Source organism: Homo sapiens, chromosome 4 (genome assembly GCF_000001405.40).
Source record: "Homo sapiens chromosome 4, GRCh38.p14 Primary Assembly".
Lineage (NCBI taxonomy): Eukaryota > Metazoa > Chordata > Mammalia > Primates > Hominidae > Homo > Homo sapiens.
The window spans coordinates 163,724,490-163,741,778 of record NC_000004.12 but is presented as its reverse complement, the minus strand read 5'-3'; the positions used below and the strand labels follow the sequence as shown (position 1 = coordinate 163,741,778).

General features: G+C 36.1%; 1 protein-coding gene across 6 annotated transcripts in view, besides 1 other annotated feature; it reads left to right on the top strand.

The window, feature by feature from the left end:
- MARCHF1 (membrane associated ring-CH-type finger 1) overlaps positions 1 to 17,289 on the top strand; it is an 859,722-nt gene that overhangs the window by 642,241 nt on the left and 200,192 nt on the right. The gene's annotated exons all lie outside the window — the stretch shown is intronic.
- Positions 3,972 to 4,163: a silencer, noted in NCBI's record as "fragment chr4:164658768-164658959 (GRCh37/hg19 assembly coordinates)". NCBI's record gives its function as "represses an EF-1alpha promoter that drives an FKBP-Casp9 reporter gene in an ReSE screen in phorbol 12-myristate 13-acetate-treated (for megakaryocytic differentiation) K562 erythroleukemia cells {active_cell/tissue: K562(+PMA)}" and the evidence as "EXISTENCE:reporter gene assay evidence [ECO:0000049][PMID:32094911]".

Sequence of the window (17,289 nt, the reverse complement as noted above, 5' to 3'; positions counted from 1 at the left end):
GAGATAACATAAAAAAGACAACACACTCCTTATCCTCTCTATTTCAAGCCAGATATCCTGTGAGACAGAATTCCACAGGGAATTGTCTGTGACACGGGAAGGAAAACAATATATAGTACCAGCTTTGTGATCTTGGGCAAACACGCAGTTGCTTAAACACGCTGATATTAGGTTTCCAAATTTTTTTTTTTTTTTTGAGACAGAGTCTCACTCTGTCACCCAGGCTACAATGCAGTGGCACAATCTCTGCTCACTGCAACCTCCATCTCCTGGGCTCAAGCAATTCTCCTGCCTCAGCTTCCTGAGTAGCTGGGATTACAGGCATGTGCCACCACGCCCGGCTAATTTGTATTTTTGGTAGAGATGGGGTTTCATCATGTTGGCCAGAGTTGTCTTGAACTCCTGACCTCAAGTAATCCACCCACCTCGGCCTCCCAAAGTGCTGGGATTACAGGCTTGAGCCACCACACCCGGCCTGTACACATACAGGTACTAACACATCAATAACACTCGTAATCAATTAAACCATAAAAGCACAAGTAAAAAACATAATTGGGGTAACAGAACAGTGTTCCAAATTTAGCCCCCTAATTTTACATATAAGAAAATTGATAGTGATTTTAAATTATTTACCCAAGGTTGCATAACTAGTAGAAAAGAATTCAGTTTAGAACCCAGTTTTCTGACCCCAAAAGCTATGTATTTTTACATTTCACTGTGTGCTACAAAGACTAAGTAGACAAAAGAGCCACATAGACAATAAGGAGACTATAGAGAAGGTATCACAGAAGGACAACATGCAACCTGAAGAGTGTAAGTGGAAGAAAGGAGAGGTCCATATTGACAGATGTTATTCTTAAAAATGGCAAGGGCTCTTCTTTGCAGCAGATGACATAAAAATGTCCTTTCCTGTGGTTGCCACTATGTATCTTTTGTGAACTATGAGCTCTAGAGTTTCTTCATTCTACTATTCACCTACTCAGTAAAAACAACTCAAACGCATTACCTTAACATGAAATTATGTTGGAATATAGTTCTCCATGAATCTTTTACATTCCTGCAGATCTTGCTAACATAAGTGCTGTTTGTGTTCCATACTATCTTTGTAAGAATGTTTATATAGTGAAGATCCTTCGAAGGGAGACATAGTATACAGTAAAGGGCAGGCATACTTACTGGCCAGTATAATTAACTTGGTTCCCTAAACTCAAGGTTTCTCCCCAGTTACACAACCCACTGAATGTATAGACATCACCTGGCCCTGTACCCTATTGCTCAGTGGTGATTGGGCCATGAAGAACCAGCACAATGTGACACTCTGGGTACTGCTATTGCTATAAGTAATAAACTGACCTTATCTCTGACCCATGATTCTTGTGTCCTCTGCCCACATCATGAAACTGTGGCAGACTAACTTGATAGCTTGCAAGTAAGGTAAAATCTCACTATGTTCACAGTTCTTGACAACAGAAAGGATGATATAAGCTAGGACCGGTACTGGGACTAAAACATATAATGGTGAATAGCATGTGTCCTACACTGAGTGAGGTCAGGTTAGAGCAGTAAGTTAGTGGGAGGTTGGGGGATTAGGAGGACAGGGGATGGAGATAGGTAGTTTTACAGTGCCATCTGTCTTATCAAGAGCTAAAACTCTGCTCTCTCAGCTGGCATAATCAAGTCTCTCATTTTAAATAACTGTGAACCAAGTTTAGTTCAATCATGCAGTGTGCCTATAATGATCAGGTAATTTACATATTGGTAAGTAAATGGCAAAAAGTGGTTGCCACAAGAAAAAAAATAGACCACAGTTTATCATTTCTTTTACCATCATTCAAGTATTTTGACTTATGGGTGGAATGCCCTCTCAAAGAGAATTATACTCCACTGTAAGGTGTGTAATGAGGAAACAAATAGGCTTTTTTACAATAGGACAAGATTTTGTGAAGTTCTAAAGTGATGATTGTTATTGTATTTTAAATAAAATGTACCTTGATCTTAACATAAAAGGGTGAAGTAAAGATTATTTCTGAAAATTAGCACATAAAAGAAGTTTGAGTGATTAAATATAACTGAAAATTTTTCCTAAGAGAAAATTATTTCCTCCTCAGAATTTATTCTGAATGTCATGTTAACGAATTTCACATGATTATCTCTTATACTATTTTAGTTGCTAAATACTGAAGAGTGTTCGTTAAAACTTGTAAGAGGAGGGTATTTTTGAGTTCATGACATTTCAGTTTAGCGTTCTTTTATTAAAGATATGGCATACTTTGAAATTACTGTTCTATAACACTTACCACACATACAATTTTGCCATTCTTCCTGACATAAATGTCAAAAGCGGGGATGTCGTTTTCATCATACTGAATTTTCTAGTATATAATAATCAGCCTTCATAATTTGTGAATAATAACTTGTTGAATAATGACATTGAACTAGTTTGTTATGTCCTTTTGTGACTTGTCCAGTGATCCTGTATTTCACTGGGATAGTCTGATTCAGTGGCAACTCTATGAGGAGTCTCTGTAATATACCACTTGGGAGGAAGAGTATAAAATCCCTTCACCACTCAATGTGTTGATAAAGGTTGTGAAATATTTCAAAGATATGAACAAATATGCATTCCATGTGTAAAATTTTTAGAGTAAATAAATGAAAGCCAAAATGCTATAAAATTATATTTGTTGAGTATTGTATTGAGGTATTTGATTTCCATGACAGAATACTTTCTTTCATAAGACAAATATCACTAACTTTTGAAGAGAACTTGACAAAAAGAATAAAATCTTCTGAAACTTTAACCATCGACTTAAGGAATTTTTTCCCCTTCTTTTCAGTCTTGGGTATGGGCAGCAGCTGCCATTCATTTAAAAACAATGTAGGAAGGAGGTAGAGGTTAGTTGCTGGCCTAAGAATTTAGGATATTTATGATGTTTGAAGTAGTTTGTAGTTTAAAATATGCTTTAGGTTTTAAAGTTTAATGAGTGCTTTTCTGCCATCTATCCAGCTGTGGCTTTTGTCTTTATGACAGTGAAGTATTTTTACTCAGCCTAAATCCTGAACAGAAGAATGAAATTCTGTTCTGCTTTGCATTAGTGAGAACTGCTATTTGGGAACATGTTAATCACCCAGCATAAAGCATTCCTTAAAACATCATTTTGAATAAGAAAAATAGCCCTTTATTGGACACATAAAGACATTGTGGACCTATTTTGGTATTTAATATGAATGTACCAGGTGGCTGATAATACATTACTCCTCAATTTGTAGAAGTTTTACTACGTAAAAATGTAGGCTCTCACATGTCATATCACCTAAGAGGCAATAATAGTTAGTGAAAATATTCTTACAAAATATGCAGCTCTCTGTTGCTAAATATATGTATTGGGATTTAATAAGGCATGAGGGAAACAGAAGCCCGAACCCAAAAGCACTCATCTTTGTTCTGCCAAGTAGTTCAAATGGCCCCAAAGAAGGTTTTGGTTCTTTGGTGGAAACTTCCACCATAAACTGAGAAAAACCGATGTTTACTCCAAGTGCATGAAATCAGATTAAAATGTGTCCTCTACATTTTTCTGTTGCCCACACTAATTGAAGCCAATTTGAAAAGACTCTCCTCTAGCCCCTTCTGAAGCAACAAGAATAAGAACTGAAATATGTTTGTTAGGACCAGATCTACAAGGCAGCCTGCCGATTTCAGAAGAGCATATAACCCTACCATGTCCTCTTCAACGCATCCAACATCCAGACCACCAGGAAGCCTAAACTGCTTCCGGAAGCAATTGAAAAAAGCTGCGAATAGTGCCGCAATAAACATACGTGTGCATGTGTCTTTAGAGCAGCATGATTTATAGTCCTTTGGGTATATACCCAGTAATGGGATGGCTGGGTCAAATGGTATTTCTAGTTCTAGATCCCTGAGGAATCGCCACACTGACTTCCACAATGGTTGAACTAGTTTACAGTCCCACCAACAGTGTAAAAGTGTTCCTATTTCTCCACATCCTCTCCAGCACCTGTTGTTTCCTGACTTTTTAATGATTGCCATTCTAACTGGTGTGAGATGATATCTCATAGTGGTTTTGATTTGCATTTCTCTGATGGCCAGTGATGATGAGCATTTCTTCATGTGTTTTTTGGCTGCAAACCCAAATGTCCAACAATGATAGACTGGATTAAGAAAATGTGGCACATATACACCATGGAATACTATGCAGCCATAAAAAATGATGAGTTCATGTCCTTTGTAGGGACATGGATGAAATTGGAAACCATCATTCTCAGTAAACTGTCGCAAGAACAAAAAACCAAACACCGCATATTCTCACTCATAGGTGGGAATTGAACAATGAGATCACATGGACACAGGAAGGGGAATATCACACTCTGGGGACTGTGGTGGGGTCGGGGGAGGGGGGAGGGATAGCATTGGGAGATATACCTAATGCTAGATGACACGTTAGTGGGTGCAGCGCACCAGCATGGCACATGTATACATATGTAACTAACCTGCACAATGTGCACATGTACCCTAAAACTTAGAGTATAATAAAAAAAAAAAAAATTAAAAAAAATAAATAAATAAACTAATATGTGAAAAAAAAAAAAAAAAAAGAAAGAAAAAAGCTGCGAGCGCTGATAAGTGACTTAAATAAATGAGAATAGCCACAGGCGTTACCTAATTAAAAGACACTTAGACACCAGGTCTCTACTTTGAGGCCTGGCAAACAAATGAGCTTTCCCTTACACATTTCTGGCTTTGCTCCATCAATCTTAGTTGATGGTAGAAGTTTCCCTCAGAGATCCTGAATGTGTTAGGGCCATCATAAATTTATTAGGCTTTTCACTTTGGAGTATTAAGGGAGAAAACTAAAAAATGATATGGAATTTAAAAAGTATGAAGACAGTATATTTTATGCAAGACTTTATTTTTAATGAAAAAGCATTTCTGACTCACAGGTGTAAAATAACTATCTGTTGACTGTAATAGAATAAAAACATACTTGGTGAATACTTTATAATTTTTTATTATATTTCTTAGACGTGATACAATTTCATGTCATCTACATTTATTTTACAGCTCTAAGTTGCTTTATCTTAGGACTTTAGCCCTATATGTCTTAGGCATCATAATATTCTACTGAATTTAGGTATCACTACCCATTTCAGCATGATTCTTTGCACTCTGGAAAAAGTTAGGTTAGAGATAATACAATAGTCCCCCCCCCCACCCAACCCTTATCTGCAGTTTCAGTTCCTACAGTTTCAGCTACCAGAAGTCAACTGAGATCCAAAAATATTAAATGGAAAATTCTAGAATTTAAACAATGTATAAGTTTTAAATTGCATACAGTTTTGAGTAGCGACATGAAATCTCAATGTCCTGCTCCATCCCACCTGGGATGTGAATCATCACTTTTCCTAGTGTATGCATGCTGTCAATGCCACCTGCCCCTTAGTCACTTAGTAGCTTTCTTGGCTATCAGATTAACTGATATAGTATGCAGTGCTTGTGTTCAAGTAACCCCTATTTTACTTAATAATGTCTCCAGAAATAAGAGTAATGATACTGGCAATTAGGATATCCCAAAAAGAATTCATAAAGTAATTCCTTAAAGTAAAATGATGAAAGTTTTCTACTTAATAGGAAAATTTAAAACATATATATGCTAAGGTTGCTAAGATTTACGGTAAGAATAAATCTTCTATCCATGAAATTGTGAACAGCATATTGTTATAATTGTTCTATTTTATTATTACTGTTATTCATATTTTATTGTGCCTAACTTATAAATTGAACTTTATCATATGTACATATAGGAGAAAACATGGTGTATATAGGATTTGGTACTATCTGTAGTTAAAGGCATCCACTATCTTGTAATGTATCCCCTATGAAGGGGGGACCACTGTACCAATAGTTTAAGACTCCAATCCTAACACATATATCAACATATCTCAAGAAAAAATAGAAGGAAAAATTTAAATTGGTAACAATGAGTGTTCCAGTATAATAGTGTACAAGAAGCAAGGGTTTAGCACTTGCTGTGGTTTGAATGTGGCCCCCTAAAATTCAGGTTTTGCCAATCTGATAGTATTAAGGGGTGCGGTCTATAAGAGGTGATTAGGCCATAAGGGCTTCTCCCTTATTAATGGAATTAAGGTTCTTATACAAGAAACTTCACACATGTCAGGACATAGCAAACATGTCCTCACCAGATGTCAGCACATTAATCTTGGACTTCCTAGCCTCTTTAACTGTGAGAAATAAGTTTTTGTTCTTTATGAATTACCTAGTCTCAGCTACTCTGTTATAGCAACACAAACCAACTAAGACAGCCTGTGTCTAGATATTTGTGTCAATAAATCTTTATTGACTGTATAATATGTTAGAAACTGTTCCAGTTGATAGAGTTATAGCACTGGACAAAACAGACAAGTTCTCCATAACCATGGCTCTCACATTCTAATGGGGAAATGAATAATAAATAAATAATTATTTAATGTAATACCAGGTGGTGATAAGATCCAGGGAGATAGGTGGATTGGGGTAATAGGATGAAGAGTGACATGTCCTAAGTGTGTGAGGACTACTGTCAACAGTGTGGCCAGGGAAGCTTTCTCTGAGAAGGTAACACTGGATTAGAGAATTAAAGAAAATGAGGAAGCAAGATGTAAATATCCGTAGGGAAGGTTTATGCAGTTGAGAGAATAACAAGTGTTTTTGACCAGGAACATGCTTATGTTCGGTGTCAAAAGGAAGACTAGATGAAGTTAATAATAAAAAGTATAAAACACTAGCAAGGAGCCAGATCATGTAGAACCTTTGAACTCATAGTAGGAACATTAAATGTTCTTCTAAAACAAATGGAAAGACATTAGAGGGCAATGAGCAGAAGAGTGATTTGTTTTATTTTTATAATTTTATTGAAGTGCAACTGACATACTGCAAATTGCGAATGTTTAAAGTGTATAATACGATACATTTTAACATATGTATAAGCCTGTGAAATCATTACTGCAATCAATATAATGAGCATATTCTTCCCCTAGAAACTTTCCTCCATGCCCTATACAATTCCTCTACCCTATCCCTCCCCACTGCTTTTATCCCCAGGCAATTATTGATCTGCTTTCTATCATCGTAGATTAGTTTGACTGTTCTAGAATTTGACCATCCTACCTTAGAATTGGAACATTACAAAAAGCAGGAGCTTTTTTTTCTTTTTTTGGTCTAGCTTTTTTACTCAGCATGATTATTTCGAGAATCATTGATGCTGTTTTGTGTGTCAGCCGTTCATTCATTTTTGTTGATAAATAAGATGTCATCGTATAGAAATTTCACCGGTATTTAGTTTTTTTCCCCAGTATTTTGCTGTTAGAAAGAAGGCTACTGGGATAATTTGTGTGCAAGTCTGTCTGCACATATGCTTTAATTTTCACTGGATAAATACCTAAGAATAGAATGACTAAATCATATGGCAGATGTACCTTTAACTTTTTAAGAAGTTGCCAAACTATTTTCCAAAGTAGCTGTCTCTTTATACATTCTCACCAACAGTATGTGAGGATTTCTATTTCTCCCTATCTTGCCAACACTTGTAATGGTCAAGTCTTTTTGTTTCTTTGCTTGTTTGTTCTAATTTTAGCCATTTCACTGGGTATATAGTGGTATCTCACTGTGGATTTAATTTGCATTTTCCTCCTAGCTAATTATGTTGAACATCTTTGCATGTGCTTAGTAGACATCTGTATGTCTTCTTGGTGATGAGTTTGTTCAAATATTTGTACATCTTTAAATTGAGTTGTTTATTCTCTTATTATTGAGCATCAAAATTTCTTTGTATATTCTGGACAAAATTTCTTGATATGATATGTGATTTGCACACATTTTTGCTCAGTGTTTTAGTACTTTTACTAGTGTCATTTGAAGATCAGTTCTTTATTTTGATAAAAGCCAGTTGCTTATTATTGTTTTCTTTTATGAATTATTCATTTTGTATTTCACCTGATAAATCTCTGCCCAACCCAAGGTTACAAATTTCTTCTATGTTTTCTTTTAGAAGTTGTATAGTTTTAGATTTTACAGTTATGGCCATCATTGATTATGAGCTAATTCTTGAACAGAAAATGAAGGCTATCACACTCCGGGGACTGTTGTGGGGTAGGGGGAGCGGGGAGGGATAGCATTAGGAGATATACCTAATGCTAAATGACAAGTTAATGAGTGCAGCACACCAACATGGCACATGTATACATATGTAACAAACCTGCACATTGTGCACATGTACCCTAAAACTTAAAGTATAATAATAATAAAATTAAAAAAAAAGAAGGCTAGATTGAAGTTTTGGGTTTTTTTTTTCCCTTAAAAATAGTAACCATTTCCAGTGCTTTTTATTATTTTGTATAGATCCAGATTTCCATCTCGCATTATTTTCCTTCTGCTTGGAAGACTTTCATATATATATAATATGTGTGCGTGTGTGTGTGTATGTGTCTGTGTGTGTGTGTGTGTGTATATATATATACACGTGTATATATATATATACACGTGTATATATATATATATATATATATATATATATATATATATATATACACACATACAGAGAGAGAGAGAGAGAGAAATGGAGTCTTGCTCTGTCACCCAGGCTAGAGTGCAATGGTGTGATCTTGGTTCACTGCAACCTCTGCCTCCCAGGTTCAAGTGATTCTCCTGCCTCAGCCTCCCGAGTAGCTGGGATTACAGGCATCTGCCACCATGCCTGGCTAATTTTTATATTTTTAGTAGAGACGGGGCTTCACCATGTTGGCCAGGCTGGTCTTGAACTCCTGACCTCAGATGATCCACCCACCTCGGCATCCCAAATTGCTGGGATTACAGGCGGGAGCCACCGCATCCGGCTTCTTTAACATTTCTTATAGTGTAAGTCTGCTGGGGGTGAATTCTTTCAGCTTTTGTATGTCTGAGTATGCCTTTATTTTGCTTAATATTTAAAAGACATTTTTACTGGGTAAAAGTATAGTTGAAAGATTCTTTTGTTTCTTTTGTTACTGTAAAACTGTTGCTCCACTGTTTTCTAGCTTGCATTGTTTCCAATGAGAAGTCTGCTGACAATATTAGTTTTGCTCCTCTGTACATAATGTGTCTTTTGTCCTCTGGATGTTTAAACATTTTCTCTTTATTATTAGGTTGAGAAAATTTAATTATGATATGCCTTGGTATATTTTCTTCATGTTTTTCTACTTAGAGTTAATTGACTGTCTTGTATCAATGTATTTATAATTATCATCAAATTTGAAAAATAATTTTCTTTACCTCCTCTCTTTTCTTCACTAAGGATTCTGATTACATATATAATTGGCTGCTTAGAGTTAGCCTCTAGTTCACTGATGTTCTTTTTTCCATCTTTTTTCTGTGTTTCACTTTAAATGTTTGCACTATGTCTTCAAGTTCACTGATTATTTTCCCTGCACATCTAATCGTACTGTTGCTACCATTCAGTACATTTTTAACCTTATACATTGTAGATTTCATCTTTAGAAGTTTGGTTAGGCTCTTTTGATCTCTTTCATATCTCTAAGTTTATATATTAATAATATAATTATATGATTAATAACTAATCATATATTAATTCTATTATCTGTGTCATTTATATATAAGTTTTGAATGATTGATTTTCCTTCTCAGTATGGGTCATAGGACATATTTCCTACTTCTTTGCATACCTAGTAATTATTTATTTGACACCAAACAATGTGAATTTTACCTAGTTGGATATTAGATATTTTTCTATTCCTAAAAATGTTGTTGAGCTTTGTTCTGGGATCTTGTTGTTGGTTGAAAGCAGTTTAATGCTTTTAGGTTTCGCTTTTATTTGTTAGGCCATATCAGGGTAGCATTTATTCTTGGATCATTTGACTCCATTACTAGGAAAAACTTCCTTAATACTTTAGCTGATTCCTTGCGAATTATAAGATTACCCATTCAGGTGATTAACGGCAGACACTATTCCTGGCTTTGTGTGATATCTAGACAATGTGTCTACTAATCCTTTTGAGTGATTCCTTTAGGTAGTTTCTTCACATATATGTGATGATCAATACTCAGCTGAATATTTGAAGATCTCCTGCAGATCTCTGGAGCTCCCTCACTCAGCCATACTGTCCCTCTGGTACTGAGCTCTGTGACATCTAGCCTCCTTGGTTTTGTCACACTCCCAGAATTATCTTCTCAGCTGAGGGAACTTGCTAATCACTGCCTGGGTTTTCCCTCACTATGCCATGCCCTGGAAACTTTCTCCAGGCAGCGAGATGGGATAATTGTAGGCCTCACTTTATTTGTCTATCATCTGTCAGAATCAATGTCCTTTGTAGAACACTGTCTTGAGAGCCATTGTGTCTTATATTTTGTTGTTTTTTTCAGCTGTTCCATATGGGAAGATAAATCTGGCCTGTGTTGCTGTATTGTTGTCAAAAATAGATGTCATTTCCAATTAATGCTGACCATGCAATGTTGCAGTGCTAATGCTCATAAGGATTTCTGTTTTTCCGTGGCCTGAATTACTTTTTAAAAATGATTCCAGCTACTATGAAGAGAATTAATTGGATATGTAGAGGGATGTGCTTGGTCATAGGGGGCTTTACTTTACTCTTTTTTTCTGAAAATAATTAATGTTTATCAGAGTTATGAATTAAGAAATGTTTATCCTATTGTTTATCCTTAAGTCATTTAACTGGAAGAGATCATTCCACAAATAAGTATATATAGGGAAGAGGAGAAATCTAAGAGCTAATCCCTGGGGTAGTGTAAGTTTTAGAAACCTGAAAAAGGAGAATAATTTAGCAAAGAAGACTGTTAGAATGGTTAGTGAAAATAGGGGATGACATTGGGAGAGGGAGAAGCAGTAACACATAATTGACTTTTACTGGTCTGTGATGCTAAGAACTCACTGAACCACAATTAGTAGAACAAATTCATACTCTTTGGATGTGGAAGAAAAAATAAACAGGCTTTTAAAAGACCTGAGAAGACCTTTAGCTTACTCTTCAGGCTGATCATGAACACAGAGGCAACTTACAACAATCAAAAAATAAAAATAAAAAAGTAGGTGCAGCACACCAACATGGCACATGTATACATATGTAACAAACCTGCACGTTGTGCACATGTACCCTAGAACTTAAAGTATAATAAAAATATGTATAAAAAATAAAGAATAAAAAAACCAAATCTTGAGTAAAAGGTAGTATTGGATTTCCAGAGTTACCACACAATTACATTCACATGTCCGCTTTTCAACAAAACAATCAGAAGGCATAAAAATAAATGAAAAAGTACGACTCATTCTAAAGAAAAAACAAACCATAAGAAACTGTTTCTGAGAAAATCTTGATGGTGGATCTGCCAGACAAAGACTTTAAAAGAGCTGTCTTAAAGATGTTCAAAGAGCTGAAGGGAGAAATGGAAAAAGTCAAGAAAACAATGTACAAACAAAATAGAAATAGCAATATAGAGTTAAGCAATCTGACACAACACCAAAAATAGATTCTGTAGATGAAAAGTACAATAACTAAAACGAAAAAATTACTAGAGAGATTCAAAGGCAGTTTTGAACAGACAGAAGAAAGAATCAGCAAACTTGAAGATAAGACAATGTAAATTATCAAATCTGAAAAACAGAAAGAAAATATTGAAGAAAAGTAAACAGAGACTAAGGGATAACTGGGACACCATCAAGTGGACCTACACACAAAAAGAGCACAGAGAAAATCTGAAAAAATAATGGCCCCAAATTCCCAAATTTAATGAAAGGCATTAATATTAAGATCTAAGATGTTAAATGAACTCCAAGTAGAATGAACTCACAGCGAATAATAACTGAGACACATTATAATCAAACTTCCCAAAGACAAGGACAAAGAGAATTTTAAAGACAAACAGAACCAATTTCTCACATGTAAGGAATCCTCAATAAGGTTATCAGCAGATTTCTCATCAGAAATTTTGGTGGCCCAAATGCCAAAATGTCTGAGAGAAGACAAAAAGTACTAATATCAGATGAAAGAGGGGACATCAGTGCATATCTTATAGACATCAAAAAGTTAATAAAGGAATGTTATAAACAACTCTATGCCCACCCACAAACTTGATAACCTTGATGAAATGGATCAATTTCTTTAAAGAAAAAATCTGTCAAAATTTACATAAGAAGAAATAAAAAACTTTGAGTAGGCTTGTATCTATTAAATAAGTGGAGTCAATAGTTAATAACTTTCTAAGACATTAAGCAAAAAATCTGAGTAGGCTTATATCTATTAGATAAATTAAATGAATAATAAATAATCTTCCAAGACAGAGGGAAGCACCAGAAGCAGTTGAGTGAACTGGTGAACTGTACATTTAAAAAGAAATTATAAGAATTCTGTACAATCTCTTCCAGGAGATAGAAGTAGAGAGTACACTTCCTAACTCATTTCATGAGGCCAGCATTACCCTAAAACCAAAATCAGATAAAGGCATTGAAACAAAAAAACAAAAAAAGGCATTTTCTTTTTTTGTTTCCTCCAGGAACATAGATGGAGGAATCTTCAACAAAATATGGACAGATTGAATCCAATAATGTATAAAAAGAATTAAATGCCTTGACCAGTGGGATTTATCTCAGGTCTGCAAGGCTGATTCAACATTCAAAAAATTAATTTATTTAATCCACAACAACAGATTAAAAATATAAATTATATGATCACATCAATAGATACAGAAGAAAACTGACAAAATCTAATAGCCATTCATGATAAAAATTCCCAGAAAACTAGGAATAGAAGAAAACTTCCTCAATGGGATAAAACTAACCTCATACTTAATGGTGAGAAATTCAGAGCTTTCCTGCTAAGATTAGGAACAAGGCAAGGATGTCACTCTCACCATTGCTTTTCAGCATTATACTGAAAGCCCTAGCTAATGCAATAAGACAAGAAAAGGAAACAAAATTATGTTGATTGGGAAGCAAGAAATAAAGCTGTCTTTGTTCATGAAATATGATTGTCTATGTAGAAAATCTGAAAGGATCAACAAAATCAAAAAGGCTAAACCTAGGAAGTGATTATTGTGAGGTTTCAGGATACAAGGTTAATATATATAAGTCAATTACTTTCCTCTATACCAATAATGAACAAGTTAAATTTGAAATTGAAACCACAACACCTTTTATATTAGCACTCAAAATAATGAAGACTTACGTGTAAATATAACAAAAGTATGGGGGGGAAGATCAATGTGAAAAAAGAACCCCAAAACTACGAAAAGAAATCAAAGAGGAACTAGAGAGATATTCCATGTTCATTATGAGAAAACTTAATATTGTTAAGATGTTAGTTTTGCCCTAATTGATCTATAGCTTAAATATACTCCAGTTGCCATCCCAGAAAGTTATTTTTTGGATATCAACAAACTGATTCTCAGAATATTCAATGAAATATTGATTCAGAGCACTGCCACTACCTGACATTAGGGCTTCCTATTGTAACTACAGCAATCAAGACAGTAATAAAAAAAGGGGGTGATAAAAATTGTGGCACAACCTGTGCAACATGGTAAAACCCCATCTCCACAAAAAATACAAAAAACTTAACTGCGTGTGGTGGCATGCGCCTGTAGTCCCAGCTACAGTGTGGTATTGTGAAAATGTAGGCAAATAAATCAATGAAACAGAACAGAGAGCCCAGAAGTAGATTCACATAAATACAGGCTGCAGATATTTGACAAAGGAGCAAAGGGAATAAATGGAACAAAGATAGTCTTTTCTTGCTTGTAATCCCAGCACTTTGAGAGGCCCAGGAGGGAGGATCACTTGAACCCAGGAGTTTAAGACCAGCCTGGATAACATGGTGAAACCTTATCTCTATATAAAATTAAAAAAATAAAACAATAAAAATACCCGAGCATGGTGGCATGCACCTGTAGTCCCAGATACTTGGGAAGCTGAAGTGGGAGGATCATTTGAGCCCAGGAGGTTGAGGTTGCAATGAGCCATGATTGTGCCACTGCACTGCAGCTTGGGCAACAGAGTGAGACCCTGCCTCAAAGAAAAAAAAAAGAAAACACCTTTTCAACAAATGGTGCAAGCATAATTGTAAATCTTCATGGCAAAAAAAAAAAATTAATTTAGGGCCAGGTGCGTTGGCTCACGCCTGTAATCCCAGCACTTTGGGAGGCCGAGGTGGGCAGATCACAAGGTCAGGAGATCAAGACCATCCTGGCTGACACAGTGAAACCCCATCTCCACTGAAAATACAAAATTAGCCAGGCATGGCGGCATGCGCCTGTAGTCCCAGCTGCTGGGGAGGCTGAGGCAGGAGAATGGCGTGAACCTGGGAGGCGGAGCTTGAAGTGAGCTGAAATCATGCCACTGCACTCCAGCCTGGGCGACAGAGCGAGACTCCGTCAAAAAAAAAAAAAGAAAAAAAAGAAATGAATTTAAACAGAAACCCTACACCCTTCATGAAAATTTATTCAAAATGGATCAAAGACCTAAATGTAAAACACAAAACCATAAAATTATTTTTTACAGGATAATTACAGCCACTATTTTTACAGGATAAAATGGAAGAAAATATAAATGACCTTAGGTTTGGTGATGACTTTCTAGATACAATACCAAAAGCATGATTCATGAAAGAAAAAAACACAAACTGGACTTCATTAAAATTTAAAACTTCGCTGCAAAAGGCACTGCCAAGATAATGAGAAGACAGGTCACAACCTGGGAGAAAATACTTGCAAGATAAATAACTAGTAGTAAAGGACTGTTACCCAAAATGCACAAAGAACTCTTAAAACTCAACGATAAGAAAATGAACAAATTCATTAAAAATGGGCCAAATACATGAACAGATGGCAAATAAGCATATGAAGAGATGTGTGACATTTCATGTCGTTAAGAAATTGCAAATTAAAACAATATCACTATACATCTGTTAGAATGGACAAAACCAAAACACCACCACCAAATGTAGCAGGATGCAGAGTAACAGGAACACTCATTTATTGCTACTGGGAATGCAAAATGGAACTGCCAATTTAGAAGATAGTTTGTGAGTTTCTTACTGAACTAAACATACTCTTATACAGTCTAGTAATTGTGCTTCTTTGGATTCACCCAAATGAGTTGAAAATGTATGCCCTCACAAAAACCTACACATGAATGCATATAGCAGCTTTGTTCATAACTGCCAAAGCTTTAAGAACAACAAGATGCCTTTCAGTAGGTGAATAAAAAAGTGTGGAATATCCAGACAATGGAATATTAAGGACCTAAAAAAAGATCTGGTGAGCCATGAAAAGACATGTAGAAAAGTTAAATGCATATTACTAAGTGAAAGAAGTCAATCTGAAAAGACTACATCCTTTATTATTTCAATTATATGACATTCTAGAAAAGGCAAAACTATGAATACAGTAAAAGAATTAGTGGTTGCCAGAGGTTGGGGAGAGAGGGATGAATAGGCAGAGCACAGAAGATTTTTAGGAAAGTGAAACTATTAACATATAATACTATGATGGTGGATACATGTTATCATACATTTGTCAAAGTCCGTAGAATATACAACACCACAAATGAACTCCAGAGACTTTGGGTGATAATGATGTGTCAGTGTACATTCATGAATTGTAACAAATGGGACAGGATTTTGATAGTGGGGAGGCTGTATATATGTAGGGATGGGGGATATAAGGGAAATCTCTATACCTAAAACTGTTCTAAAAAGACTAAAAAGAAAAAAATGGTAAAGGTAAGTAGTAGCTTATATTTGTTATCAATTTATTACAGTTTTACATTATTAGAAGATGATTGGAAATCATAAGATGTCATCCTAAGCATAGTTGTTTAGTAAAAATTAACAAAAACAGACATTAACTGTATGTTAGGCTAAAAACTTTTACATAATATCTCATTTAATTCTTTCAGGACAGGTACCTAACGATAAACAGGCATGGAAAGCTTGAATAAGTTTTCCAAGATTGCAGAGCTAATTGACAAATAATAGATCCAACACTAGAGCTAGGGACTTTCTGACTTGAGATTCTGTGCCCTGACATGCTGTTCTATACTGTCTTACAACCATAGACTATGAAAAACTACAGGGTTTAGTTTTAAATTAATTTTAAAGCACTTATTGAATGGAAAATGTATAATTCATTATCACTTGAATTCATTACTTTCTATATTACCATACTTTTTTTGTTCATATTTTCTTTTTATGTCATTATTGTTATTATTACTTTTTTTTTTTTGGAGATAGTGTCTCACTCTGTTGCACAAGCTGGAGTGCAGTAGCACAATCATGGCTCACTTCAGCCTCCACTCCCTGGGCTCAAGTGATCCTCCCACCTTAGCCTCCTGAGTAGCTGGGATTACAGGTGCATGCCACCATACCCACTTAACTTTTTTGTATTTTTTGTGGAGATGGGGTTTCACCATGTTGCCCACACTATGCCACTACTTTTATTACCCCTTTCTGTAATTCTTGAAATATGAACTTATCAGTAAAATAAACTATAATGTTATGCCACTCTAGAACATTTAAGATTTTCTAGAGCCATTATAAATTAATATATATGGGGTAGTTCCAAGATGGCTGAATACGAACAGCTCCAGCCTACAGCTCCCAGCGTGAGCGACGCAGACGGGTGATTTCTGCATTTCCAACTGAGGTACTGGGTTCATCTCACTGGGGATCGTTGGACAGTGGGGGCAGGACAGTAGGTGCAGCCCACTGAGTGTGAGCTGAAACAGGGCGAGGCATTGCCTCACCCGGGAAGTGCAAGGGGTCAGGGAATTCCCTTTCCTAGCCAAGGGAAGGGGTGACAGACGGCACCTGGAAAATCGGGTCACTCCCACCCTAATACTGCGCTTTTCCAATGGTCTTAGCAAACGGCACACCAGGAGATTATATCCCATGCATGGCTTGGAGGGTCCCACGCCCGCGGATTCTCATTCATTGCTAGCACAGCAGTCTGAGATCAAACTGCAAGGTGGCAGCGAGGCTGAGGGAGGGGCGCCCACCATGGCTGAGGCTTGAGTAGGTAAACAAAGTGGCAGGAAGCTTGAACTGGGTGGAGTCCACTGCAGCTCAAGGAGGCTTGCCCGCCTTTGTAGACTCCACCTCTAGGGGCAGGGCATAGCCAAACAAAAGGCAGCAGAAACCTCTGCATACTTAAATGTCCCTGTCTGACAGCTTTGAAGAGAGTAGTGGTTCTCCCAGCATGGAGTTTGAGATCTG